This window comes from Homo sapiens, chromosome 20 (assembly GCF_000001405.40).
Source record: "Homo sapiens chromosome 20, GRCh38.p14 Primary Assembly".
Lineage (NCBI taxonomy): Eukaryota > Metazoa > Chordata > Mammalia > Primates > Hominidae > Homo > Homo sapiens.
The window spans coordinates 3,007,900-3,034,334 of record NC_000020.11 but is presented as its reverse complement, the minus strand read 5'-3'; the positions used below and the strand labels follow the sequence as shown (position 1 = coordinate 3,034,334).

Here is a 26,435-nt window from a genome sequence, read left to right as displayed (position 1 = left end):
AGAAATACATATCAAGTCTAGGGACTAGGTATCAACACTAAGAGTCTCATTTTTTTTTTCTTTTTTGAGAGAGTCTTGCTCTGTCGCCCAGGCTGGAGTGCAGTGGCATGATCTTGACTTACTGCAGCCTCCGCCTCCCAGTTTCAAGTGATTCTCCCACCCCAGACTCCCAAGTAGCTGGGACTACAAGTGTGCGCCACCATGCCTAGCTAATTTTTGTATTTTTAGTAGAGACAGGGTTTCACCATGTCGGCCAGGCTGGTCTCAAACTCTTGACCTCAGGTGATCCACCTGCCTCAGCCTCCCAAAGTGGTAGGATTACACAGGCGTGAGCCACCACATCTGATCAAAAGTCTCTAAATTTTGTATACATGGGCGGATTTTCTCTCAAGATCTCTGGAAGACCAAAGAGGATTTTTTTTTTTTTTTTTTTTGAGATGGAGCTTCACTCTTATTGCCCACGCTGGAGTGCAATGGCGCGATCTTGGCTCACTGCAACCTCCGGCTCCCGGGTTCAAGTGATTCTCCTGCCTCAGCCTCCCCAGTAGCTGAGATTACAGGCATGCATCACCATGCCCGCTAATTTTGTATTTTTAGTAGAGACGGGGTTTCTCCATGTTGGTCAGGCTGGTCTCGAACTCCCGACCTCAGGTGATCCACCCGCCTCGGCCTCCCAAAGTGCTGGGATTACAGGCGTGAGCTGCCGCACCTGGCCTCAAACAGGATTTGTAAGACAAGGAGTGACAATGATTTATATTTTCAAAAGGACCAGCAGCTGCCATTTGAAAAACTAAAAGTGGGTTAGGATGAGAGCAGGAGGACCAGTTGCCAGGCCACTGCAGACGAGGCTGCGCATATGAGTCATGCCCACAGTCCCACGGGCAAGCAGTGAGAGACGAGGGCTTGTTCAGATGACAGCAGTTACGCTGGAGAAAAGTGGGGAGGCTCTGCCTGTATCAGGACTCAGTGGCAGACTGGATGTGAGGGGTGAGGAGAGGGGAGGAAGGAAGGTAACTCCCGGATTTTAGACATGAGCAACTGGGCAGAAGGTGGTACTATTTATTTAGATGGCTAAGAGTGGGGTGGACTGGTGTCGGGGGAAGGAGGAAATCAGGAGCCCACATTGGGAAGGGGGACAGGTGACTGGCCTAGAGACGCAGATTGAGGATCCCTGGCATATGGGTTGTACTTAAAGCCATAGGACTGGCTGAGATCCTGAAGGGCTAGTGTGTCAAAAGAAAACAGAGTGGGCTAGCGCCCGAGTCTAGTATACTCCAATGTTTTAGAGGAGGAGGTCACAAAGAAATAACAAAGGAGCTGCCAGGTTAGTGAGTGGGGTGATGCTACGGAAGTAAGTGTTCTGAGGAAGAGGAGGGAGGTACTGACTCTTTCAAATGCTGCTGTAAGGACAAAAAAAAAAAAATCAGAAAAGAGAAATGACCTTTGGATTTGGCAAGAGGACAGTCACTGGTGATCTTGACTAAAGCAGTCCCAGTGGGGCCAAGCCTGGAAGGAACAGAGCGAACAGAGAACTTGCAGGGAGAAAGCCAACTCTTTTTTTTTTTTTTTTGAGATGGAGTCTCACTCTGCCACCAGGCTGGAATGCAGTGGCGCGATCTTGGCTCATTGCAACCTTCAGCTCCCTGGTTCAAACGATTCTCCTGCCTCAGCCTCCCGAGTAGCTGGGATCACAGGCATGCACCATCGCGCCCAGCTAATTTTTGTATTTTTAGTAGAGATGGGGTTTTGCCATGTTGGCCAGGCTGGTCTCGATCTCCTGACTTTGTGATCCGCCCACCTTGGCCTCCCAAAGTGCTGGGATTACAGGCGTGAGCCACCGCGCCCGGCCGAAAGCCAACTCTTTAAAGGAGTTTTGCTGGGAAGGGGTGCAGAGAAATAGGATAGTAGGTGGAAGGGAAAGTGAGATTAGCAGATTTTTTGTTTTTAAAAGATAGGAAATGTAACATGTATAGGCTGATGAGAGTAGTGGTTAAAGAGGGGAACTGCTGATGGAGGTGGGAGAGAAGATGGTTATAGCAGCAACATCCCTGAGCAGGCAGGACGGAATGGGGCCAAGAGCACAGTGGACAGGTGGATTGAGAGATGCAGAAACCCTTTTCCACTGTAACAAGAGAGAATAGAGTTGGTACAGATTTGAAGAGGCTGGTTGTTTGGGGGTGGGAGGATGACAGTGTTCTTGTCTGATTTCTTGGAGAAGAATGAGGCCAGGTCACAAGCTAAGGTGTGAGTATGATGGGACAGGCAAGAGCAGATGCTGGAGGTTTCAGGAAGAAAAGAAAGAGCAATAGCATTGCTAGGTGGCACCAATTACCTCTATGAGATTTGTGGTCATGAGTTCAGTGTGAGAGCATTTGGCACTGTTTTGTGTTTTTGCCCAGTGATGTTTGCTATATCAGATAGAGGCATATAACTGGGTTTTACTAGAGAGTTTGCTATGAAAGTAAGAAAGCATGAGGGAATAAGGAAAGGTAATAATGACATACCACAAAAACTCAAATCAGAAAACTCAAACGCTCAAAAACAGAACTCAAAAACACACAGAGTAAGGAGGAAGGTGAGGACATGTTCGGTGTGACTGATGTTGAGAAAGTGGAGGCATCAATAACTCTAAGGACTTGATGAAGACAAAAATGACTGGAATAAAAGAGAATACTGAGGTGGGAGGAAGGAGGCAGTAAACAGGGCGGATGCCTTGTTGAGATTCCAAGGGCAGTGCAGATACAGGGCAGATGGTGACTTGACCATGGGATCAGGTGGCTGAGGAAGCTGAGGAATAGAAAGATTGAGGATAGATGGATCATCCACATGGTGACTGATGCCTCCAAAAGCAGAGTCAGGAACAGGGGCTCAAAAGGAGCAGTAAGCCAGGTGTTAAAGTCATCAGTGGGTGAGGGACAGAAGATGGGGAATGGGGATTCAAGACCAGTAGAAGAAAAGCTGGGGACTGGAGTTTCATCTCAGATTTGTGTGTTCACGTTACGGCCTCTAGATAATAGCATCTTAAAGAAGTGAAACAGGGAAGGTTTTCTGTCTTTTCTCCTACTTTGTCTTTCCACCAGATAGCATGAAGTCTCTTATGTCTTATGTCTCTTATGAGGTCTAAGGCGGACATGGTGATGGGGACACACAGCTTTGTGAAGACTAATGCTATCAGGTTTCACTATGCTTTAGAGAAGCAGGATGAGGCCTAGGGTTGGGCTAGGCCTAGGGTTGACCCAGCATGGGAGTTCCTGGCACTGCTCTGTCTGCCCAGGCTGATGATGGTCCAAGCTGCAGCTGCTGAGGGAACCCAGGCATCCTGGTGGACCCTTTTGATTAAAATAGAGCAGAAGGAGGCCAGGCGCAATGGCTCATGCCTGTAATCTTAGCACTCTGGGAGGCTAAGGCGGGCGGATCACTTGGGGTCAGGAGTTTGAGACCAGCATGGCCAACATGACGAAACCCTGTCTCTACTATGGAAATTAGCTGGGCATGGTAGTGCATGCCTGTAATCCCAGCTACTCGGGAGGCTGAGGTGGGAGAATCACTTGAACCCTGGAGGTGGAGGTTGCAGCGAGCTGAGATTGTGCCACTGCACTCCAGTCTGGTGGACAGAGTGAGACTCCATCTCAAAAAAAAAAAAAAAAAAAAAAAAAAAGCAGAGGGAGATAATTAAAAATTTTTAATTCCTTCGAGATTTTAATTTGTAAGTACAGAATTTATATTATGGGATCGAATTTTTTTCTCTGGGAACTTAATATTGTAGGTGAGGATGGTAGTGTCACTGTATAAGTGTAGGCACCTTTCATTGCATCATTTAGGCTTAGTGCGTTAATTACTTCTGGGAGCTACACTTGACAACATGAATGGAACAGAAAGTGAACTTGGGGGCCAGTGAGGCCTTGTAAAGAACATCACTAACATCCTGTTCCAATCCACTCAGAAGCTTTTGAGGGCAAGCACTACTGTCTGCTTCACTGGCCTAGGAAGACAGAGCATAAGCTACAGTGGAAGGCAGAGGGAGAGGCCTCACTCAACAGGCAGCAGAATTTGTGTGCGCACGACTCTTCTCCCCACCGCCACACACATGAAATGCTTCCTGCCCCCTGCCCTTTACTCTCACTAGGTCCTTTTCAAGGATGGAAGAGCCTGCATCTGACTGGACAGAGGCGGAGATGTTCACTGGGCCACATTTTATCACAGGGCAGTGGGCCGAGATGGTCCTTGTGCTCGTGGTTCCAGCTCTTCGGCCTGCTCTTTGGTCCTGCCCATCACAGATCTGAAGGGCAGGGGTGCAGAAGGAACCACAGGTAGGGCCCTGGTCTGATCTGCAGGTTCCATCACGACTGATCAGAGACGGCAGGAACAGGCACCTAGCTCCTGAGAACACAGTGGCTCATTTCCTAAACAGCTTTTGTTACTCAGGTGTGTGCTTCCTTGAGTGCAAAGCCAAGCACCTTAACCGAACCTCCCACCTCATCAGTATTGTTATTAATGATGATGAAGACACTGGGCGCAGTGGCTCACGCCTGTAATCCCAGCACTTTGGGAGGCTGAGTCAGGCAGATAACCTGAGGTCAGGAGTTTGAGACAAGCCTGGCCAACATGGTGAAACCCCGTGCCTACAAAAATTAGCCAGGCATGATGGTGGGTGTCTTTAATCCCAGTTACTAGGGAGGCTGTGGCAGGAGAATTGCCAGAACCTGGGAGGCAGAGGTTGCAATGAGCCCATATTGTGCCACTGCACTCCAGCCTGGGTGACAGAGACTCCGTCTCAAAAAAAAAAAAAAAAAAGATGATGAAGACCTACAAAGTATGTCTGTTGATTAGGTACATGATACAAGTCTAGGAAGAATAGCTAATGAGTTAAATGACTGATCAAAATTGAAAAAAATGCCGGGCAAGGTGGTTCAAACCTGTAATCCTAGCACTTTGGGTCAACCAGGTGGGTGGATCAATTGAGCCCAGGAGTTCAAGACCAGCCTGGGCAACATGGTGAAACCCTGTCTCTACAAAAAAATACAAAAACTAGCTGGGCATGGTGGCACGTGCCTTTAGTCCTAGCTACTTGGAGGGCTATGTGGGAGGATCACTTGAACCTGGGAGGTTGAGGCTGCAGTGAGCCAAGATCGTGCCACTGCACTCCAGCCTGGGTGACAAAGTGAGACCCTCTCTCAAACAAACAAACAAACAAACAAAACCAAAAAAAAAAAAAAAATCCTGATGTAATGAAACATCAGGGTGAGAAAATATGTGTAAAGCCTTGTACCAAAGTTAACACAAGTACAGATGGGGAACAACTAGTGACTTGAGACAACTAATGTAAAACATACTTTGTATTTTAAATGTTTGACTATAAATTCAATGAGTCATGAGTGGGTGCCATCCTTAATTCCTCCTCACTTCACCCTTTCTGGGACAGCACCCTCTCACCACCCGAGTCCAGGCCACCAGCATTACTGCCACAGCTTTCGCATTTCTAATGAGTCCTTCTCACTGCTGCCAGAGGGATTTTTTAAAAAACACAAATGGGATGTTGTCAAGGGCTCTTCAATTGCTTTAGGAAGACCAAACTCTTCACTGTGGCTTAGAAGGAATTTTCTCACCAGGCCTTGCTAGCTTCTCTCCAGGCCCATTCTCTAGATTCTCATCCCTGCTAAGTGACACCCCAGACATAGTGAACCGCTCATTTGCTGCAATGTGCAACCTCAACAGAAATAATTTTTAAAAGAATAAGCATTGTCAGAACACAGACTGGGTCCCCCCATAATGTGGGGGGTGAGGGAGATATCCCTGAGATTGAATGTGCTTAGTAGAGGCTGTATGATTCTGACTCAGGAACAATATTAGGAGGTTTCCTATACTGAGAGGAAGTTGACCTAGGGGACTGCTAGTGTCCCTTTTTAGTATGAGTTTCCGGACAGCTCTGCTTTTTAATAGACCTGAGGGCTTTTTTCTTTAAAAGATTTCCTTATTACTGAATATTAGACTGTAAGTTTCTTGTTTGTATAATTTCTCAAATTCTACTGCTTTATTTTATGTAGTCAGCAATGAGGCAATCCCTTCTTAGGGACACTCATATTGGGTCCACCTCAGAACCTTGACCTATCTGCCCTGCCTGGGGCACTGGGAAGGAGAGGGTGCCCCCCCCGCCTGGGGCACTGTGCAAAGGCTAGGCTAGGGGGACTGTATTCAGGAGAAAGTGCAAGGGTGTGAGCTGTCTGGGAATAACATGGAGGCTCAGATCACATTGCTTTTCTAGTCTTGGGAGAAGCTAATGACTGCTTAGACACCAACGGGCTGGGCAATCCTGGAAATGCATATGTATTTATATACCTTTAAGTATGTACTTATACTATGCAAACGTACTCTTTGGACCGTATAAGTCAAAGACAAGGTCCAAACACCTTCTTGCCTTCCCAACGTCCCCATTTACACACACATCTTTTCATGCTGTCTCTGTCTCTCACCACCCAGGACCTTTTGAACTCACCTGGCCTCTCTCCTCCAGTTCTGTTAGCATCACGATAGAGCAGGATTTCCACTCCCAGATCATTCGCCAGAAGTCCTCAATTGTGTGGAGAAGAGGGCCCTGGCTGGCGATATAGGAGTCCTTCTGCCGGTAGCCCTGCACAGGCCAGGTTAATTGCAAGGGTGAGATGGTTTAATCACAGAGGGACTAGTGGAGAAGACAGACCACTAGAAGGGAATGGGGACTGCTCGGAGGCAAACTCAGCCCATGCAGAGCTCCCCTGTGGCCAAGGACGAAACCCTATCTGACAAGCTGGTTGCTTTCTGTAAGAGACAGGGAAGTGGAACAGGGATTAGAGCTAGGATGAAGAGGGCAGGAATGGGAAAGATCAGGGGGCAGCCAGGTTCCTCTTGGCTGTGGTCTGCTCTGTGAACTTTTTCTTCCAGGTATTATACTACTGCATGCCATCTGTTTTCCCCCACCTTCTGCTCTATGGAGCTGGACAGACCTAATGCACAGGGTGAGTGGGTGGGTGAGTATCAATTCACTATTTGTTGACTGATTCAAACATGATCCTCCCCAGCAGGTATGGGAGGGAGGCACTGCAAGTGCTGGCTGAATCTCCACGGGGTGTTGGGGGCTCAGGGGTCACACCCACCACTTACATCAATAAAGGATGCGTTCACATAGTCTGTATTCTCTTCGCCCCGCTTAACTGGAATGATCACTCTGTTGAATTCATCTGTAAGAAGAATAGCGGCTTATGGCTAGCCAATATCATTTGTCCTCTCCCTCTCCTTGCATTGCTCCCACCTCAGGCCCTGGGCAGACAGAATCCCAGCTGGGCAAGGACATGTCTGTTCCTAGCTCATTAGGGAGAAAGCCTTTGGCTTTTACGTTATTTCCAGAAGCCACTAAGGTGCAACAAAAGGCAACGCCATGTTGTTAAGTGGGTGCAACAAGAGGCAATGCCATGATTCTTGTCTATACGCCAATCATTAACTAGTACCTGAGAAATGGAAGGGGTGGAGGGAATTGAGGGATGGGGCAATAAGGCTTTGGAGTGGCGGGAGGGCTCTTACATGGAATGATCTGTAAAACACGGTTCTTCTTCATGTTGGCTGGAAGGTTTCCAGTCCGCATCTTGTCATTCTGGATTTTGATTGATGTTAACTTCTGAATTGGGAAGGGGAGGGGAAACATTACTGATCCCAGTAACTGAACTTGACAAGATTATGCCTGTCCCTTGGCCTGCACCTCCAGGCCACTCTGGCTCCATACTGCTCTTCTCACCAGGGCCCTGACCTCTGTTCCCATATGTTCAGCTGGAACCCTGAAGCCAAGAGACTGTTTGGGAAATGCTACCTTCCAGGCTCCTGTGGACTCTCTTGAGATTCTCCTGGCTTGGAATTTTGTGATCCTGGAGCAAGGGATTCCAGCATCGTAGGAGGGAGTGTGTCCACTCTGCAGTTCCACCCCCAGAGGCTGCCTAAGGCTCTTCAAAAAAACTTATTCAGAATTGCATCCTCCCTTCCCGATTGAGGCTCCTTCTTGACATTTGCTACTCAAAGTGTAGCCCATACACCAGCAGCGTTGGCTTCACCTTATTAGAAATGCAGAATCTCAAGCCGGGCGTGGTGGCTCATGCCTGTAATCCCAGCACTTTGGGAGGCCAAGGTGGGCAATCAACTGAGGTTAGGAGTTTGAGACCCGCATGGCCAACATGGTGAAACCCTGTCTCTACTAAAAATTAGCCGGGGGTAGTGGCACGTGCCTGTAGACCCAGCTACTTAGGAGGCTGAGACAGAAGAATCCCTTGAACCCGGGAGGCAGAGGTTGCAGTGAGCTGAGATCGCGCCATTGCACCCCAGCCCGGGTGACAAGAGTGAAACTCCATCTCAAAAAAAAAGAAAAGAAAAAAAGAAATGCAGAATCTCAAGCTCTAACTCATACCTGCTGAATCAGAACCTAATATCTTTTTTTTTTTTTTTTTTGAGACAGAGTCTTGCTCTGTCACCCAGGCTGGAGTGCAGTGGCACAATCTCAGCTCACTGCAATCTCTGCCTCCTGGGTTCAAGTGATTCTCCTGCCTCAGCCTCCCAAGTAGCTGGGATTACAGGCATGTGCCACCATGCCTGGCTAATTTTGTATTTTTAATAGAGACAGAGTTTCTCCGTGTTGGTCAGGCTGGTCTTGAACTCCTGAGCTCAGGTGATCTGCCTGACTTGGCCTCCCAAAGTGCTGGGATTACAGGCATTAGCCACCGTGCCTGGCAGAACCCACATCTTGACAGGATCCCAAAGAAATCTGTGCACATGCTATATTTGAGAAGAACTTCTCTAAGTGGTCCTCCCCACCCCAACCCAGAATCTCCTGCTTCTGAGAAAGCACTTTTTTTTTTTTTTTTTTTGAGATGGAGTCTCGCTCTGTCGCCCAGGCTGGAGTGCAGTGGCATGATTTCGGCTCACTGCAACCTCTGCCTTCCGGGTTCAAGCAATTCTCTCGCCTCAGCCTCCTGAGTAGCTGGGACTACAGGCATGTGCCATCATGCCTGGCTACTTTTTGTATTTTTAGTAGAGACGGGGTTTCACCATATTGGCCAGGCTGGTCTGGAACTCCTGACCTCATGATCCACCTGTCTCAGCCTCCCAAAGTGCTGTGATTACAGGCGTGAGCCACTGTGCCCAGCCTGGGAGAGCACTTTTACTGATGACAGTGTGACATATGCCTTAGGTGTGTTGAGAACCATTGTCTAGTGGCATATAGGAGCTATCAGTGATCTAAGGTCCAGAGGCCAAATCTGGCCTGCTGCCTGCTGCCTGCAAATAAAGTTTTATAAAACAGCCACACTCATTATATTTACCTATTGGTTATGGCTGCCTTTGTGTTACAAAGACAGCACTAAGTAGCTGGATAGAAACCATGTGGGCTGCAAAGCCTAAAATATTTATTATCTGGCTCTTACAGAAAAAACTGCTCTTGCTGTGTATCATAATCACCTCGGAGGGCTAGGGGCCTTAAAATACTGTTGCCTGCTTCTCCCTACTCTAACACAACCAAAGTGATTCCAACGTGCAGGATGAGTTGAGAGTTACCAGAGTACGAGGAAAGGACCATCTCCTTAACCACTGGCATGCCTCACAAGGGGATTTACTGTTGGCAAATGCACAGTCAGGCATCCCATGTTCCCCAGATTACAAGGATCCTTCAATCTGAAGGAGGTTATCCAGCTCCAACTCACCTTAAACTCCTCCTCTAATCCATTGTTGCTGGTCCCTGGGATTTTGTTGTAAATTTTCTGCAGGTGGGTTTCTAGAGAGGTCACTTCCAGTTCTGTATCTCCATAGAGATAATGCTCCAGAAGGGCTTGGTATATGAAGACATACTGCATCTGAAACATGAATGACACAGAAGTTCTTGGTTACATACAACATAGTTCTCATGCCAGATCACCTGTTCCCACCCCCACTTCACTCCAGTCCATTTCTCCTTTGATCCTAGCAGGAATAAAAGGACTCCCTCTTATTATCCCAATTTAGTGAAGTGGGACTTGAAATGCAGGAGTCCCTGTGGGGGTGCTTTACTTGGGAAGAAGGGTCCAGGTCTATCTTGGGGGTGGTGGACGCCTGGAGAGAAGGACAAACTCAATTCCTGTTCATTCTGAGAGTGCAGATTTAATAGTCTGAAGGGGCTGTCAGAAACTGGAGACACCCAAAGCCCGTGATAGTCTGGTCCCTGCCTCCCTCCTGGTGCTATGCCCCAACTGCAGAGCCAATCTCACTGCTGCTCCCAGATGTGGCCGAGCTTCATCATGTCTCTGGGCACTGGCTCTTTCAGCTGCCTGTTCCCTAATCTTTGAAGTCCAGTAACCTGTCATCTGCCTTCCTGACTCTCCCAGGCATGAAACCACAACCTCCTCTGTGCTCGATTTCTTTGAATACATAATTTATAAGAGCCCTTCATCACATGAAAGGGGCTAGCCCCTCCACACCTGTGGATGTTTCTCGTCAGGTGGGACGAGAGACTGAGGAAAGAAAGAAGACACAGAGACAAAGTATAGAGAAAGAACAGTGGGCCAGGGGACCGGTGCTCAGCATACGGAGGACATGCGCCAGCACTCGTCTCTGAGTTCCCTCAGTATTTATTGATCACTATCTCTACTATCTCGGCTAAGGGGATGTGGCAGGACTATAGGGTAATGGTGGGCAGAGGGTCAGCAGAAAAACATGTGAGCAAAGGACTCTGTGTCATAAATAAGTTTAAGGAAAGGTGCTGTGCCTTGATGTGCACGTAGGCCAGATTTATGTCTGACTTTACACAAACATCTCAGTGCAGTAAAGAGCAGTATTGCCGCCAGCATATCTCACCTCCAGCCATAAGGCGGTTTTCTCCTATCTCAGTAAATAGAATGTACGATCGGGTTTTACACCAAGACATTCCATTCCCAGGGACGAGCAGGAGACAGATGCCTTCCTCTTATCTTAACTCCAAAGAAGCCTTCCTCTTTCACTAATCCTCCTCAGCACAGACCCTTCCCTTCCCACGAGGGCATATCTCAGGCTATCTCAGTGGGGAGAAACTTTGGACAACACCCAGGCTTTCTTGGGCAGAGGTCCCTGCGGCCTTCCGCAGTGCATTGTGTCCCTGGGTGCTTGAGACTGGAGAACGGCGATGACTTTTACCAAGCATACTGCCTGCAAACACATTTTTAACAAAGCACATCCTGCACAGCCCTAAATCCATTAAACCTTGAGTCAATACAGCACATGTTTCTGCGAGCACAGGGTTGGGGCTAGGGTTACAGATTAACAGCATCTCAAGGCAGAAGAATTTTTCTTAGTACAGAACAAAATGGAGTTTCTCGTGTCTTCCTTTTTCTACATAGACACGGTAACAGTGTGATCTATCTTTCTTTCCCCCACAATCACACTCTATAGTAATCATTTACAATAACCTGTGAGACTGAGTGAATCCTCAATGTGGGCAGATGTTTTAGTCCTGGAACCCCCCACCCTCACCTGACCCACAGATCACTCACATCGGTTTGCACCATCTGGCAGCGCTGTGCCCGGATCCGGCTCACAAAGCCATACACGTCCACCTTCCGTTCTGTATGCATCATGTCCAGCATGGCATCAATGACGACAAAGGTACCTGTACGCCCTACACCTGCACTGTAGCCAGAGAGCAGGGGGTTATAGGGATGGCCAGCCTGCCTTGTGGGAGCAGATAGGGAGGGGCAACACAGGCAGGGGCTCTTCCTTCAGGGTCTAAATCCTAATTCTGAATGGGGTAGAGCTGGGGCTCTCCAGGAGCCAACAACTCCAGTATGTCCTGAATCCTGACCTCCAGCTAGAAGGGTCCGAAGGCTGCAAAAATACATGGCCAGCACTTGACCCAGTCTTTTGGCTTCATAGCAGGGTCTCCCAACTCCTAATCTTGGAGGACTGCCCTACCCTCCTTCCTCAAGTCATATTCTCCACCCTGCACTAGAACTTGGAGTCTCTGGCTGTTGCGCTGGTGCCCCAGTAGGTCATCTACTCTGTGCCAGCCTCCTCAGCCAGGGCCCTTGTGCTGTTCCCCTGCTCTGGCCATGGGGGCGAAATGTGGGGGTGGGGGTACAAGGGTCAGGCCACACTGACCTGCAGTGGACCACGATGGCCCCTGCATACTGAGGGTTACAGGCCTTCACCTTCTTGAGGAACTTGAGCATGCCGATCGGGGTAAAAGGCACCCCAAAGTCTGGCCAGCTGGTAAAGTGGAACTGAGTGATGAGGCGCTGTGGCTTTCTGTTGGTCATGTCGCCCACCTGTGAAGTGAGGAGATCCTGTGTGTTGGCCCTGATACCCAAGGGTGGGCAGTACCAGGGGAGGGAAGGTGACAGCTGTGGTTGTCAGTGACAATGGAAAAGTAAGTGTACCCAGGGGAGTTAGTTAACCACAGACACAAGGTCTCACAACTAGTCAGTGGCAGGGTCAGAACTAAAATGCAGTGCTCCCAGCTAAGTCCTCTTTTCGCAGTACCACACTGCCCCTTGGCTGAAGGTGACCTTTGCTCAGGTCTCCAGGGTTGCCTGGAGGGCCAGGGGCAGGCCCATCACATCCTTGATGTCAGGAGTCTTTGGAGTAGGAAAGGAGGAGAAAGGTGAGTCAAGCACCTAGGAGACTGCACTGCCTCCCCATGCTCCCTTTCCACAGTGCTTGGTCATATCTAAATGATCAGACTTCATCTCAACAGGTAATTTTTCACCAGTCATGAAAATACTGCTCCTTTAGCTTTGACAGACAAGTTCCCCTGAGCCCGGATATCTGGTTTCAGAATTCACATACTGCATACTCAGCAACTCCTGACCACAGCGGGATGATCCAGCCTGTTCCCTCTTACTGGTCAGCAGATCCAACATAAGAACTGAGAAAGGACAGAGGAGACACTACCTGCTGGATGCAGAACTTCCGTACTGTGTAGTCCACCAGGACAGTCACATCCTCTACAGACACCCGAATATTCCCATAGGTCCAGCAGCCTTGGTCTGGCCAGTACTGGGCGCACTTGCACTGGAAAGAAAAAGACATACATTCCCTGACCTTAGACCTCCTGCCCATGGCAGATGCAAAGGGCCTGGAAGGAAGAGCCCACAAAGCCCAGATTAAAGTCCCCCAGAAGGCCCTTTGACCTCTTCTCTATCTCAGTCAGTTGCACACTTACTTATTCAAATTTGCCCTTTTCTCAAGTTCCTTAGCCGCCATCCTATTGAGCACAGTCTCCTAACTTACACACAGCCCTAGCCCCATACTTCTCAATGTTTCCCACCCACACTCCCTTGGTTCAGGGCGAATCTGAAGCCATCTTACCTACAAAATCTGCACTTTCACAACATTTCAGGTCATGCTCTAGGAGAAAGCCTGTTTGAACCCCTCGAACCAGCAGTCTGCTATGAGGGGGCCACCAGGGTAGACTGATGCAGACTGTAAACCTGCCATGAGAGGCCTAGAGCTTTTTCTGTTGCCTGAGCTTTGGATAGCTTCCAAGAGCAAGAGGTTTGGTTGGAGGAAACTAACCTAAAGCCCAGCCCTAGCACTGTCTTCCCATGCCACTGTGGAGCTGTTGATCATGACACCCGATACCCTAGGATCAAGGTGACTCAAGGGCCATCCTTGAGAAACACGGTAACAAATAGGTATTCCTCGCTGGGGCTCGACCCCAGGACCCAGAATTGGCTCTGGCTGTGGCCCAGTGATAGAGCTGGTTAGGCCAGGCATGCACTTGGTAGCCACAAAAGGAAAAGGCCCAGTTAGGAGGCTGCCTCCAGGATTAGGCCAAGGCCTCAAATTCCCTTTGGCTTGCAGGGTCTCAGTTCATAAAGCTCCCTCTGCTGATCCAGGATATACCAAAGGCCTCAGCAGGTGGGGCAGAAAACCAGGGAAATAAGGAACTAGAGAAACCAGGGGAAAAAAGCTCCTCTGTGGGCCGGGCGTGGTGGCTCACGCCTATAATCCCAGCACTTTGGGAGGCCGAGGTGGGTGGATCACGAGGTCAGGAGATCGAGACCATCCTGCCTAACACAGTGAAACCCCGTCTCTACTAAAAAAAACACAAAAAATTAGCTGGGCGTGGTGGCGGGTGGTACTCGGGAGGCTGAGGCAGAAGAATGGTGTGAACCCGGGAGGCGGAGCTTGCAGTGAGCCGAGATGGCACCACTGCCCTTCAGCCTGGGCGACAGAGCGAGACTCCGTCTCAAAAAACAAAACAAAACAGCTCTCCCTCTCCCTCTCCCCACGGTCTCCCTCTCCCTCTCTTTCCACGGTCTCCCTCCGATGCCGAGCCGAAGCTGGACGGTACTGCTGCCATCTCGGCTCACTGCAACCTCCCTGCCTGATTCTCCTGCCTCAGCCTGCCGAGTGCCTGCGATTGCAGGCGCGCGCCGCCACGCCTGACTGGTTTTCGTATTTTTTTGGTGGAGACGGGGTTTCGCTGTGTTGGCCGGGCTGGTCTCCAGCTCCTAACCGCAAGTGATCTGCCAGCCTCGGCCTCCCGAGGTGCCGGGATTGCAGACGGAGTCTCGTTCACTCAGTGCTCAATGGTGCCCAGGCTGGAGTGCAGTGGCGTGATCTTGGCTCGCTACAACCTCCACCTCCCAGCAGCCTGCTTTGGCCTCCCAAAGCGCCGAGATTGCAGCCTCTGCCCAGCCGCCACCCCGTCTGGGAAGTGAGGAGCGTCTCTGCCCGGCCGCCCATCGTCTGGGATGTGAGGAGCCCCTCTGCCTGGCTGCCCAGTCTGGAAAGTGAGGAGAGTCTCTGCCCGGCCGCCATCCCATCTAGGAAGTGAGGAGCGTCTCTGCCCGGCCGCCCATCGTCTGAGATGTGGGGAGCACCTCTGCCCTGCCGCCCCGTCCGGGATGTGAGGAGCATCTCTGCCTGGCCGCCCCGTCTGAGAAGTGAGGAGACCCTCTGCCTGGCAACCGCCCCGTCTGAGAAGTGAGGAGCCCCTCCGCCCAGCAGCCGCCCGGTCTGAGAAGTGAGGAGCCCCTCCGCCCAGCAGCCACCCCGTCTGGGAAGTGAGGAGCGTCTCTGCCCGGCAGCCACCTCGTCCGGGAGGGAGGTGGGGGGGTCAGCCCCCCGCCCGGCCAGCCGCCCCGTCCGGGAGGGAGGTGGGGGGGTCAGCCCCACGCCCGGCCGGCCGCCCCGTCCGGGAGGGAGGTTGGGGGATCAGCCCCCCGCCCGGCCAGCCGCCCCGTCCAGGAGGTGAGGGGCGCCTCTGCCCGGCCGCCCCTACTGGGAAGTGAGGAGCCCCTCTGCCCGGCCAGCCGCCCCGTCCGGGAGGTGGGGGGGTCAGCCCCCCCGCCCGGCCAGCTGCCCTGTCCGGGAGGGAGGTTGGGGGATCAGCCCCCTGCCCGGCCAGCCGCCCCGTCCGGGAGGTGAGGGGCGCCTCTGCCCGGCCGCCCCTACTGGGAAGTGAGGAGCCCCTCTGCCCGGCCAGCCACCCCGTCCGGGAGGGAGGTGGGGGGATCAGCCCCCCGCCCGGCCAGCCGCCCTGTCCGGGAGGTGAGGGGCGCCTCTGCCCGGCCGCCCCTACTGGGAAGTGAGGAGCCCCTCTGCCCGGCCACCACCCCGTCTGGGAGGTGTGCCCAGCAGCTCATTGAGAACGGGCCATGATGACAATGGCGGTTTTGTGGAATAGAAAGGGGGGAAAGGTGGGGAAAAGATTGAGAAATCGGATGGTTGCCGTGTCTGTGTGGAAAGAAGTAGACATGGGAGACTTTTCATTTTGTTCTATACTAAGAAAAAATCTTCTGCCTTGGGATCCTGTAGATCTGTGACCTTACCCCCAACCCTGTGCTCTCTGAAACATGTGCTGTATCCACTCAGGGTTGAATGGATTAAGGGCGGTGCAAGATGTGCTTTGTTAAACAGATGCTTGAAGGCAGCAGGCTCGTTAAGAGTCATCACCACTCCCTAATCTCAAGTACCCAGGGACACAAACACTGCAGAAGGCCGCAGGGTCCTCTGCCTAGGAAAACCAGAGACCTTTGTTCACTTGTTTATCTGCTGACCTTCCCTCCACTATTGTCCTGTGACCCTGCCAAATCCCCCTCTATGAGAAACACCCAAGAATGATCAATAAAAAAACAAAACAAAACAAAACAAAACAACAACAAAAAAAACCCCTCTGTGGCTTTTCCTTAGCTGATGGCCCAAGTCAGTCTCTTTCAGGCTGTTCTGGAACCAGGGTGAGTTGTTTGACTACCAAATACAGGGAATGTGCTCTAGGCACACACCTGAGGTTCATATCTGGGGCTTCCAGGCCATAGCAAAGTCTGATAGACTTCAGCCTGTGTCTTTCTGGATGAACTACTGGTACAGCACCCACAAAGGATAGACAGCCAGGCTTAAACTCAGAGCTTATATGCAGAGTGATCCTTCTGCTGTTCACATCCAATTTTTCCACTTACCTCCTTTCTCTCCTTCAGGTTGGTAACCATGACGATGGTGGCTGTGTTTTGTTCCCAGATCATCCGCCAGAAATCATTCACCGTTTCTTCTTTTGGTCCTAAAGTAGCCAACAGCAAAAATGAAGAGAATATACACCAAGAAGAAAGATGCTGGGAGGCTGGGAACATCCATTCCTGACTTTTGGAAGCTTGTGCCCAAATGTCCCCAGCTAAATATCTAACCCATGTATCCATCCACCCCGTTACTAATTGAGTATTTTCCATGTTTCTACCATGTATGTGCCAGGCACTGCACAAGGATGGGGCTGGGTGGAAGGCTGTCAAAAATATAAACAGAACACGAATGATGTCTCCCAAGGATATTACAGTTGGGAATTAGAAATCATGACTGCTCACAGAATACCTACATTATGGACCTGACAGTGAGCTAAGTGCTTCATATGGCATTTACTCCTTCCTATTATGCTCTGAGGTGGGTGTCATCAGCCCCAGAAAGGTTGGATGACTTGTTCAGGCTAGAATTCAAAATTTACCTCCCATATAACCTTTTTCGGAAAGTCACTAGAAAATTCTAAACAAAAATGAGAGGCAAACAGAGGAAAATAAATGAGATCCAACACAGCAGAGAGGCTAACGGAATTCCCAGGGTACTGGTCTTAGAATGATAACTCTGCCAGAGGATAGAGAGCAACCAATCCACAATGCAACTGAAGAAAGAAGATTCTAGAAGGATCCCAAGATAAAAAAATTAAACCTCATGTATCTAAAGGTACTGAGAGAAGATATATACTTCTGGTAAAGAGTTTGGGAGGAAAATCAGTAGTAGGTATATAAAAAACACAATGACTAAAAAAGAAGGGGGAAAAAAACTATACAAAAAATAACATAATACTGTGTGTTTCGGCTGTGAATATTTGTAAACTCATAATAATAATAAATACCTTAACCCCAAATTGTGATTTGACTCTTCTGGGAGAATGGGGAGGATATGTGGGTACACGTCTGTCTGACTGAGGGGGAGGTGCTCTGTAAGGGGATCAGATGATGTCATCTATCATAAGAAGCCAATAGATAAAAATGGTTGCCCCAGGGGCATTAGACTAAAAAAGTGAAAAGAAAAGGGAGGAGAACTTTGTTTTTATAAATCTTGTAGTCCCTAATGACTCTTTTTCTTGAGACAAAGTCTCACTCTGTCACCCAGGCTGGAGTACAGTAGTGCAATCTCAGCTCACTGCAACCTCTGGCTCCCGGGTTCATGTGATTCTTGTGCCTCAGCCTCCCAAGTAGCTGGGATCACAGGTGTGTGCCACCACGCCTGGCTAATTTTTAGTAGAGACGGGGTTTCACTATGTTGCCCAGGCTGATCTTGAACTCCTGGGCTCAAACGATCCTCCTGTCTTGGCCTCCCAAAGTGTTAGGATTACAGGCATGAGCCACCCTGCCCGGCCTCAATTACTTTTTAATGCTGCAAACATCCAGATATTTTTGCTAGGGTTCAAAGAGTGAAGACAGTTGTTAGAACAGCAGGCCTGGAAATGTGTGTAGAACACATAAAGGACATGGTGCTGGGTCCCTGATCTGAGGGTTCCTAGACCAACTATCTGTGAATAATGGTGAGGCTCAGGCCCATGAGCTGGGGGAGAACCAGCCTGGACCCTGTGAGGTGGCTGATCCTCTCTGGAAACTGATTCCTAATTCAAACTCTGAGCAGCCTGGCTGGAACCTAAGGTTAACTAGCCCCAAGGACAGAGGGCCTTATTAGACTGTGTTTTGTGTATACAGCCTTTTCCAGTCTTTTTAATATACATACACAAAAAGACTTCTTTTAATGGATCCCTGGATACTAAGTCATCAAGATGAAGGCTGTTAGCTGTAAACCTGTATAATGGATTATAATTCTTTCAGGTGGTAAAAAGTACAGAAAAGCTACAGCATTCTGGTTAATCCACTCAGCATTTGGGAGAAAAAAACCAAACCCATTATGTGATCATGGTTAAATCTAACAGAAAAAAGTTGTCATTACTTTACCTTGTGCAGCAATGAATTTGTTCTTTTCTTGGTAGCCCTGGGGTGTGGGGAAGGAAAGAAAAAGAAAGAGAAAACCAAAAATGAATAGAAATGAAATTCTCCAGTCTGACTCCAACCAGTTAACAAAACCTGAAAATGTGCAGGTACTTAACGGGGATTTCCAGTCTAGATATTCACAAGGGATTAGCTTTAGAGCTAGGAATTAGAGATTACAAAACTCAAATAGTCTAGGTAGTCTTCTCAAATTGAATTATTAATAAATACTAGAATAAGAAATCCAGGCCAGGCGTGGTAGCTCACACCTGTAATCCCAGAACTTTGAGAGGCCAAGGTGGGCGGATCATCTAAGGTCAAGAGTGTGAGAGCATGGGGCCAACATGGTGAAACCCCATCTCTACTAAAATACAAAAATTAGCCGGGCGTGGTGGTGCACTCCTGTAATTCCAGCTACTAGGGTGGCTAAGGCAAGAGAATTGCTTGAACCTGGGAGGTGGAGGTTGCACTGAGCCAAGCCAAGATTGCGCCACTGCACTCCAGCCTTGGTGACAGAGCAAGACTCCATCTCCAAAAAAAAAAAAAAAAGAAAAAGAAAGAAAGAAAAAAGAAATCCAAATACTGACTCCCAGATTAGACCATGTTTCTGATGCTTTATCAGCAGCTAACAATGTAGATTTCAGTGTTAACAGGTTAAGAACCCACCAGGGGAAAAGCATATGTGGTGGTTCCAGGGATGAAGCTGGGTTCACTCTGGGAAAGAAAACAGGTTATTTTCTCAAGGATGCTTTACCCAGGTGCAAAATCTTTCTGGGAATAGCCTGTGAGTGTGGTGAAGTAGCTCCCAGTGTTTAACAAGAGGCTTCTCTATCACAGGCAGTGGGGGACAAGAGCAAGGGAGCCTGGGGTGCCACTCAACAGATAAGGAGCCTCGGAAAAACTAACAACTGGCCGCAGCTTTCTTTTTCAGTCTTTATTGCTCCAGTTATACATCTTTTCAACGTCATTGTTTAAATGTATGTTCAATTCAGAAGTTCTAGGTAAGAGAAAGCCACTTGATTTAAGGATTGTGAATCACCCATTTCCTTTCTCAGACAGCAATAAGGTGAGTAACAAGGGAGGCAGCTTCAGGGATGGGACACCATGTCACACCAACACCAGGGTGGCAATGTGAACTACAAGGCTGCAAGGCAGTGGCCAAATATAAGAAGTGGCCTAAATCTGAGGAGCCACTTTCTTTTTTTTTTTGAGACGGAGTCTTGCTCTGTCACCCAGGCTGGAGTGCAGTGGTGCGATCTTGGCTCACGGCAACCTTCTGCTCCCGGGTTCAAGTGATTCTCCTGCCTCAGCTTCCCAAGGAGCTGGGATCACAAGCATGAGCCATCACGGCCGGCTAATTTTTGTATTTTTACAAAAATTAGAGATGGGGTTTCACCATGTTGGCCACGCTGCTCTCGAATTCCTGAACTCAGATGATCCGCCCACCTTGGCCTCCCAAAGTACTGGGATTACAGGTGTGAGCCACCGTGCCTGGTCTGAGGAGCCACTTTCAATTTCAGTTCAAACAAGGGCAGGGCAGGGTTGCTGCCCAACACAGAAGGAGAAAGCTTTAGGCCTCAGAGATGGATATGTTTAGTCAGCAACAAAAGACTTGTTAAAGTTTTCATTGAGAAGAGCAATTTAAGTTTCAACAAATGTTTTTATTTATTAGAGAATGGAAATGGAAATAGCCTTAATTCTGGATGTTAAATTCTGCTTATATTACTAAACTTATAATTAAAACTGAGAAGTCCTTAAGAATACGTTAAGCGCATCATATTCCTGCTCCATGAGGAGTCACTGCTAAATTCTCATTGCAGCATGCGGGCCCTGAACAGCCTGAACACCTGGTTGGAAGGCCCAGCCCCAAAGTGCTTCCTGCCCCATCTTACCAGGAGTGCGTCATATGCCTTCCTGAAAACATGCTTGTACAGTGATGTGGCGGCACTGCTTAACTAATACAGAGTAATGAGAATGAAGCAAAGCCACTGATCTTGTGTTCTGTTCAAGGGAAAGATGAAATGTGGCTCCCTGGCTCCTGAGATGTCTCTAGATTCTGAAAGCTGAATCTCAGTGGGCTCTAGGTGGTAGCTACATTCCTACCTCTAAAAAGAAACACGTCTAAAGATCCTATATATTCTAGGCTGGGCGCGGTGGCTCATGCCTCTAATCCCAACACTTTGGGAGGCCGAGGTGGGCAGATCACCTGAGGTAGGGAGTTTGAGGCCAGCATGACCAACATGGAGAAACCCCATCTCTACTAAAAATACAAAATTAGCAGGTGTGGTGGTGCATGCCTGTAATCTCAGCTACTTGGGAGGCTGAGGCAGGAGAATTGCTTGAACCCCGGATGCAGAGGTTGTAGTGAGATCGCGCCATTGCACTCCAGCCTGGGCAACAAGAGTGAAATTCCGTCTCAAAAAAAAAAAAAAATCCTATATATTCTTAGACATCTAAAAATGAGTAAGGAAACTGGTTTCTCCTAAGGCTCTAGGCTGGAAGCCCACCTGCCAACTGTGCCACTGCCTCTGTTTCATCTCCTCCTGTGAACAGTGTTAGGTTAGCTGACCTATGTGTTTCCCAAACTACAGACCCCACTTTCCTAGGCCTTTCACCACTACTCCATGGTGCCTAGTTCCCTTCAAGATCCATGTGTGTGGTCTCAGTTCTCTACGCAAAAAGTTAAGTGATGGCCGGGGGGTGAGAATGGAGATTAATTGTATTTAGACACTGAGGTTCTTTTTGGGGTGAGCAATGTGTTCTAAAACTAAGGGGGCAACAGCTAGAGTGTAAGGTTCTTCTTTTGAGGGGATGACAATGTTCTAAAATTGGTGATGGGCTGCAGTTATATGTGAATATACTTAAAAAAACACTGAATTGTAAACTCTGGGTGAAATACATGGTATTTGAATTACATCTCAATAAAGTTGTTAGAAAATGTTCTAAGACATTTATGGTGATGGCTGCATAACTTGGTAAACTTACCAAAAAATCACTGAATTCTCACTTAAAATGGGTGAATTTTATGTTATATATATTATACCTCAATGTTAGGGGAAAAAAAGGGTTTGATAAGTGTTAACTAGCAGCCCACAAAAAGGATGCAACAAACGGCCTCTGAATTTGCTTCAGCAAAGGATGCTGCCCTACACACTAAGTCCAAAGAAAATCTGTTCCTCTTTCCCACTGATCTCTAATCTGCACATAACCCTCTTCACTGCCAAACACTTCCTGAGCCATGCTTTATCTTTGCCTTCTCAGATGCTCTCTTCTCTTGGTCTCCTTCCATCTCACCCATGAGCACCTGTTCAATGTGCCTGGCAGGGGCTGTGGGCCCAAGGGCTCTGTTCTTGGCCCACTCCTTTATTACTTCCAAGTCCACAGCTCTAGATATGACCAACTGTATGCTGGATACATCTACATGGATATATCACCCTCTACTCTCTCATATATAAATCAACCACCAATTCCTGCTAAATTCTACCTCCACGTAGTTTTCACTTTGTCGCCGCTTCCTTGTCAACCCTCATCATTTGTGATCTACCTGCTATTGCAATAGCCCCCAATTGGCCCCTCCTAAATCCATGTTGTACATGATAGCCCCAGTGATCAATATGTAAATGTGGTCACACTACTCCCTGCCTTGAACACTTTTCAATGGTACCCCACGGCCTAGATAAATTCATCAAAACCGCTCAGCTGTACTGAAAACTGGCAGACACTATTAGGTGGTTCACTTAGTACCCACTCCTGCTCCCTTCTAGCTTGACTATCTTACAGCTACATTTCCCAGACTCCCTAGCAGCTCAGCAATCCACGAGACCTAGCTTCTTCCTAGCAGATGCTCCCACACAAGACTTGGGGTAGAAATGAGCAACATGAGATAACGACTGTGCTAGAAATCTGGTCTTTGGGCAAGCACGGTAGTAGAAGCATCCAGTTCTTCTGCAGCACTGTGCAGAGGTTTCACTATGACAGTCACATGCTGCATAGATCTATAGCTGCTCTGCTCTTTGCTGAGCAGCATCTGAGCTTGGCTCACTGGCTCTTCCCCAGGTTTTGTTAAGGTACCCAGTATCTTATAATAAACCCCTTTCTGCTTAAAAGAGTGGATGAAAAGTACACTCTATAGTCTGCAAGTAAGAACTCCAATGGACACACTTGACATCCACTACCTTTCAAGATCAAGTCTCATTTCCCACCACTTCCCATCTTATACCTTATAACCTAAGACTGCTGTTTCTAGTCTCTGTGACTTTGCTCATGTTTCTCCTTTGCTTTGAAGTTTCTGCCCAACTTTCTTCTCCTGAACTCTGACTCACTCTTCAATAATGAGCTCTACTGGGTTACCAGGCTGGGCTGAATGTTTTTTCTCATAACTCCACAGAACCTGGCAATACCTCCTTTGCACACGTAGCACATTACAGGAAACAACCTAACTACCTGTGTAGTATATGAGGGATTACATCTTACCTCTGTAACCTTTAAGCCTACCCACAGTGCTTGGCACACAGCAGGTGCTCAAAAAATGTTGACTGAGTTTAATAAACTGTGAAATCCAAATCTTTAATCCCTGCTTCCCACTTATGGTTAACCACAGGTTTTTCCCTGCTTTTGTTCCTTCACTGAGTTCATAAGGTCCCCCATTTAACCCTCTTCATGTAAACTCTGCCTACTAATAACTGTCTAATAACCATCAAGGCATTATGGAATGCCCTAGTGTAAGCTCTAAATAAACATGGTCAAGGGATAAGGCTGTTTCTTTCTACTGTGCCATTACCATGAAGAGATCCCCATCTCAGCTGCTTAACAGCCTTAACATACAATTAACTTTTGTCAGTTTTCACCTTCAATGTGGGAAGGGACCAAACTGGTTACGGTGGCAGATGCTGCTGGTTACTAACTCAAATCCATTCCTCCCTTTCTTCTTTGCCATTAGAGCCACAATTTTGTTTGGACATTAACCTTTCACTGGCTTGGAAGGTGCCCATTCCCCAGGCTCAGAGGGGTAAATCATGATCATTCTCAATGTCCTAGCCAGTGATTAGAGAGGGATGTGAACATGTGATCCAATCCTGGCCTGCTGGTCCTGAGGACAGGGTGGTGGGGAGGATTCCGTGAAAAGCCTTGCTCCCTAACAGAGAGAAAAGCATAGGCAGATATGTTCCTCTTCTGTGCTGGATGCTGTGTTTATTTTTTTTATTTTTTATTTATTTATTTTTTTTGAGACAGAGTCTCGCTCTGTCGCCCAGGCTGGAGTGCGGTGGCGTGATCTCGGCTCACTGCAAGCTCCGCCTCCCAGGTTCACGCCGTTCTCCTGCCTCAGCCTCCCAAGTAGCTGGGACTACAGGTGCCCGCCACCACGCCCGACTAATTTTTTGTATTTTTAGTAGAGACGGGGTTTCACCGTGTTAGCCAGGATGGTCTCGATCTCCTGACCTTGTGATCCGCCCGCCTCGGCCTCCCAAAGTGCTGGGATTACAGGCGTGAGCCACCGCACCCGGCTGGATGCTGTGTTTATGAGGAATGCTTGGGACTGCTGCAGCCATCTTGTGGCCATGAGACTGTTGACAGGGCTAAGGATAACTGAGTAGAAAGATGGAAGCACCTGGTTTTGTAAGTATGTCACTGACCCATGGAATCAGCCAACTCAAGAACTGGTCTCCATTTGCTTTCACAGTATATGAGACAAATAAATGTTCCAGCTGGGCACGGTGGCTCACGCCTGTAATCCCAGCACTTTGGGAGGCAGAGGCAGGTGGATCACTTGAGGCTCAGAGTTCAAGACCAGCCTGGCCAGCATAGCAAAACACCGTCTCTACTAAAAATACAAAAAATTAGCTGGGCATGGTGGCACATGTCTGTAATCCTGGCTACTAGGGAGGCTAAGGCATGAGAATCGCTTGAGCCCGGGAGGCAGAGGTCGTAGTAAGCCAAGATCGTACCAGTGCAATCCAGCCTGGGTGTCGGGGTGAGACTGTCTCCAGAAAAAAAAAAAATGTTCCCATCTAGACAACTTTTAGTTGAGTATTCTCTTACCCGCAGCTGGACACACTAACTGATCTTGCTCTTCTCTTCTGCATAACATTAAAGTCAACCTATTCCACCTAATCTCTTCATCATGATCTTCGATGTAAGTTCTAGGAATTCCTGCTGATTACTAGCCTTTCTCCATTTTCCTTATCGACTACAACAATTATTTGTCTAGTCAGGGTCCCTTTCCTTAAAACTACAAACATGTAACCATTAATGTTAAACATACATACAGGAACTTCAGCAAATTCACTCCAGTGAGAATGCCCGGACTGCCCCATTTTTGAAGTCCATCTAATAGCCTATTTTTTGGACACAACCTCCTGTTCTTTCACTTTCTCAAGATCTCCAGTTCCTCAATCCTACCACCTTAGGAATAGTTGTTTATTCCTAACAACTTCCTAACGCTTTTCTTTTCTACTGAAACTGAAGCCCTTGGCTGACTACTTGAAGCAGCCACTGACCTTCCCTTTTGTCTGAGTACCACATGTCCTCTGCATTTACCACCAATCCCAGGGTGCAGATGAAGAAAAAAAAAATCACACAACTCAGCACCCCCCACCCCCATCAATGACATCCCACTAGACATGTCCTTTGCTTTCTCTCTTTGGTATCCTTTTCTCAGGGACCTCAGAAGCTGTTCTAAACTTTCGAAGCTCTCATGTCACAGTCCCATCTCATTTGTTCAGTACACAACCATGAGCACACGGGTGAGTTGCCTCAACTTGCTTTACCCACACCTACGAGTCGTCTCTATCCATTCTGTCCTCTCCTTTATCTTCACTCTCAGAGGAAGAAACAGCCCTTCTTATGTTCACACTAATCTCTCCATCAGTGTCCTTTTTTTTTCTTGTGGTAAAATACAACATAAAATTTACGATTTTAGCCATTTTGACTCTTCTTTTTTTTTGAGACAGTCTCACCCTGTCGCCCAGGCTGGAGTGCAGTGGCGCCATCTCGGCTCACTGCAACCTCCGCCTCCCGGGTTCAAGCAATTCTCTGCCTCAATCTCCCAAGTAGCTGGGATTACAGGCGCCTGCCACCACGCCCGGCTAAGTTGTTTTTTTTTTTTTTGTTTTTTTTTTTTTTTTAGTAGAGATGAGGTTTCACCATCTTGGTCAGGCTGGTCTCAAACTTCTGACCTCAAGTGATCCACCGCCTTGGCCTCCCAAAGTGCTGAGATTACAGGTGTGCCACCGTGCCCGGCTGATTTTAGCCATTTTAAGTGTACAGTTCTGTAGCATTAAGTATATTCACGCTGTCGTGCAACCATCACCACCATCCGTCTACAGAACTTTTTCATCTTCCCCAGATGAAACTCTGTACCCACTCCTCATTCCTCCCTCCCCCAGCAACCACTATTCTACTTTCTGTCCCTGTGAATTTGACTACTCTACATATGTATATATAGTTTATATTCTATATGTAGAATCATACAATATTTGTCCTTTTGTGACTGGCTTATTTCACTTACCATGATGTCTTCCAGGTTCATCCATGTTGTAGCATGTATTAGAATTTCCTTCCTTTTAAAGGCTGAATAACATTCCACTGTATGCATGTACCACATTTAATTTATTCACTCATCCGTCAATGGACACTTGGAGTGCTCCCACCTGGCTTTTAGGATTAATGCTGCTATAAACATGCAAGTGGAAATTTTATCCAGTCTTCTCATGCATTTTGCATCAGGAGTCAGACTTGCTTTTGCCAGCTTTCCCTCTCTCTTTTTTCTGTTCAAATTCACTCTCTCTACAGGATGCTTCCCCCAAACCTATAAAACATATTCTTAACTCTTTATGTGTTTTTTCAGGCTACTGCCAAAGACAAAACCAACCAAACAAAAACCTCAAATCTCTCATACAGACTGTTCTATAAACATTCTCTAAATCATCTTTAAAAACCTCCTCTTAGTATCAG

The 26,435-nt window shown here is 48.1% G+C and overlaps 1 protein-coding gene across 28 annotated transcripts in view, besides 1 other annotated feature; it reads right to left on the bottom strand.

The window, feature by feature from the left end:
* Positions 1–26,435, bottom strand: part of PTPRA (protein tyrosine phosphatase receptor type A) — a 174,486-nt gene that overhangs the window by 4,335 nt on the left and 143,716 nt on the right. For 21 of the 28 annotated variants that reach the window (NR_170936.1, NM_002836.4, NM_001388321.1 and 18 more), the window contains 9 exons: positions 18,450–18,486; positions 16,422–16,519; positions 12,907–13,026; positions 12,115–12,281; positions 11,511–11,646; positions 9,714–9,863; positions 7,555–7,648; positions 7,138–7,214; positions 6,494–6,628 (listed from right to left, as the gene is read on the bottom strand). Coding sequence is in view for 27 of the 28 variants with exons in the window: in NM_002836.4 (NP_002827.1) it covers positions 6,494–6,628; positions 7,138–7,214; positions 7,555–7,648; positions 9,714–9,863; positions 11,511–11,646; positions 12,115–12,281; positions 12,907–13,026; positions 16,422–16,519; positions 18,450–18,486 (1,014 nt within the window). In the remaining variant the exon portion in view is untranslated. The remainder of the gene's footprint in view (positions 1–6,493; positions 6,629–7,137; positions 7,215–7,554; positions 7,649–9,713; positions 9,864–11,510; positions 11,647–12,114; positions 12,282–12,906; positions 13,027–16,421; positions 16,520–18,449; positions 18,487–26,435) is intronic. The other 7 variants (NM_001385320.1, NM_001385319.1, NM_001385321.1 and 4 more) reach the window with 2 other exon arrangements.
* Positions 6,247–7,446: an enhancer, noted in NCBI's record as "BRD4-independent group 4 enhancer chr20:3007535-3008734 (GRCh37/hg19 assembly coordinates)". NCBI's record gives its function as "activates an origin of replication core promoter dependent on BRD2, P300/CBP, MED14 and CDK7 cofactors, and independent of BRD4, by STARR-seq in HCT116 cells {active_cell/tissue: HCT116}" and the evidence as "EXISTENCE:reporter gene assay evidence [ECO:0000049][PMID:35650434]".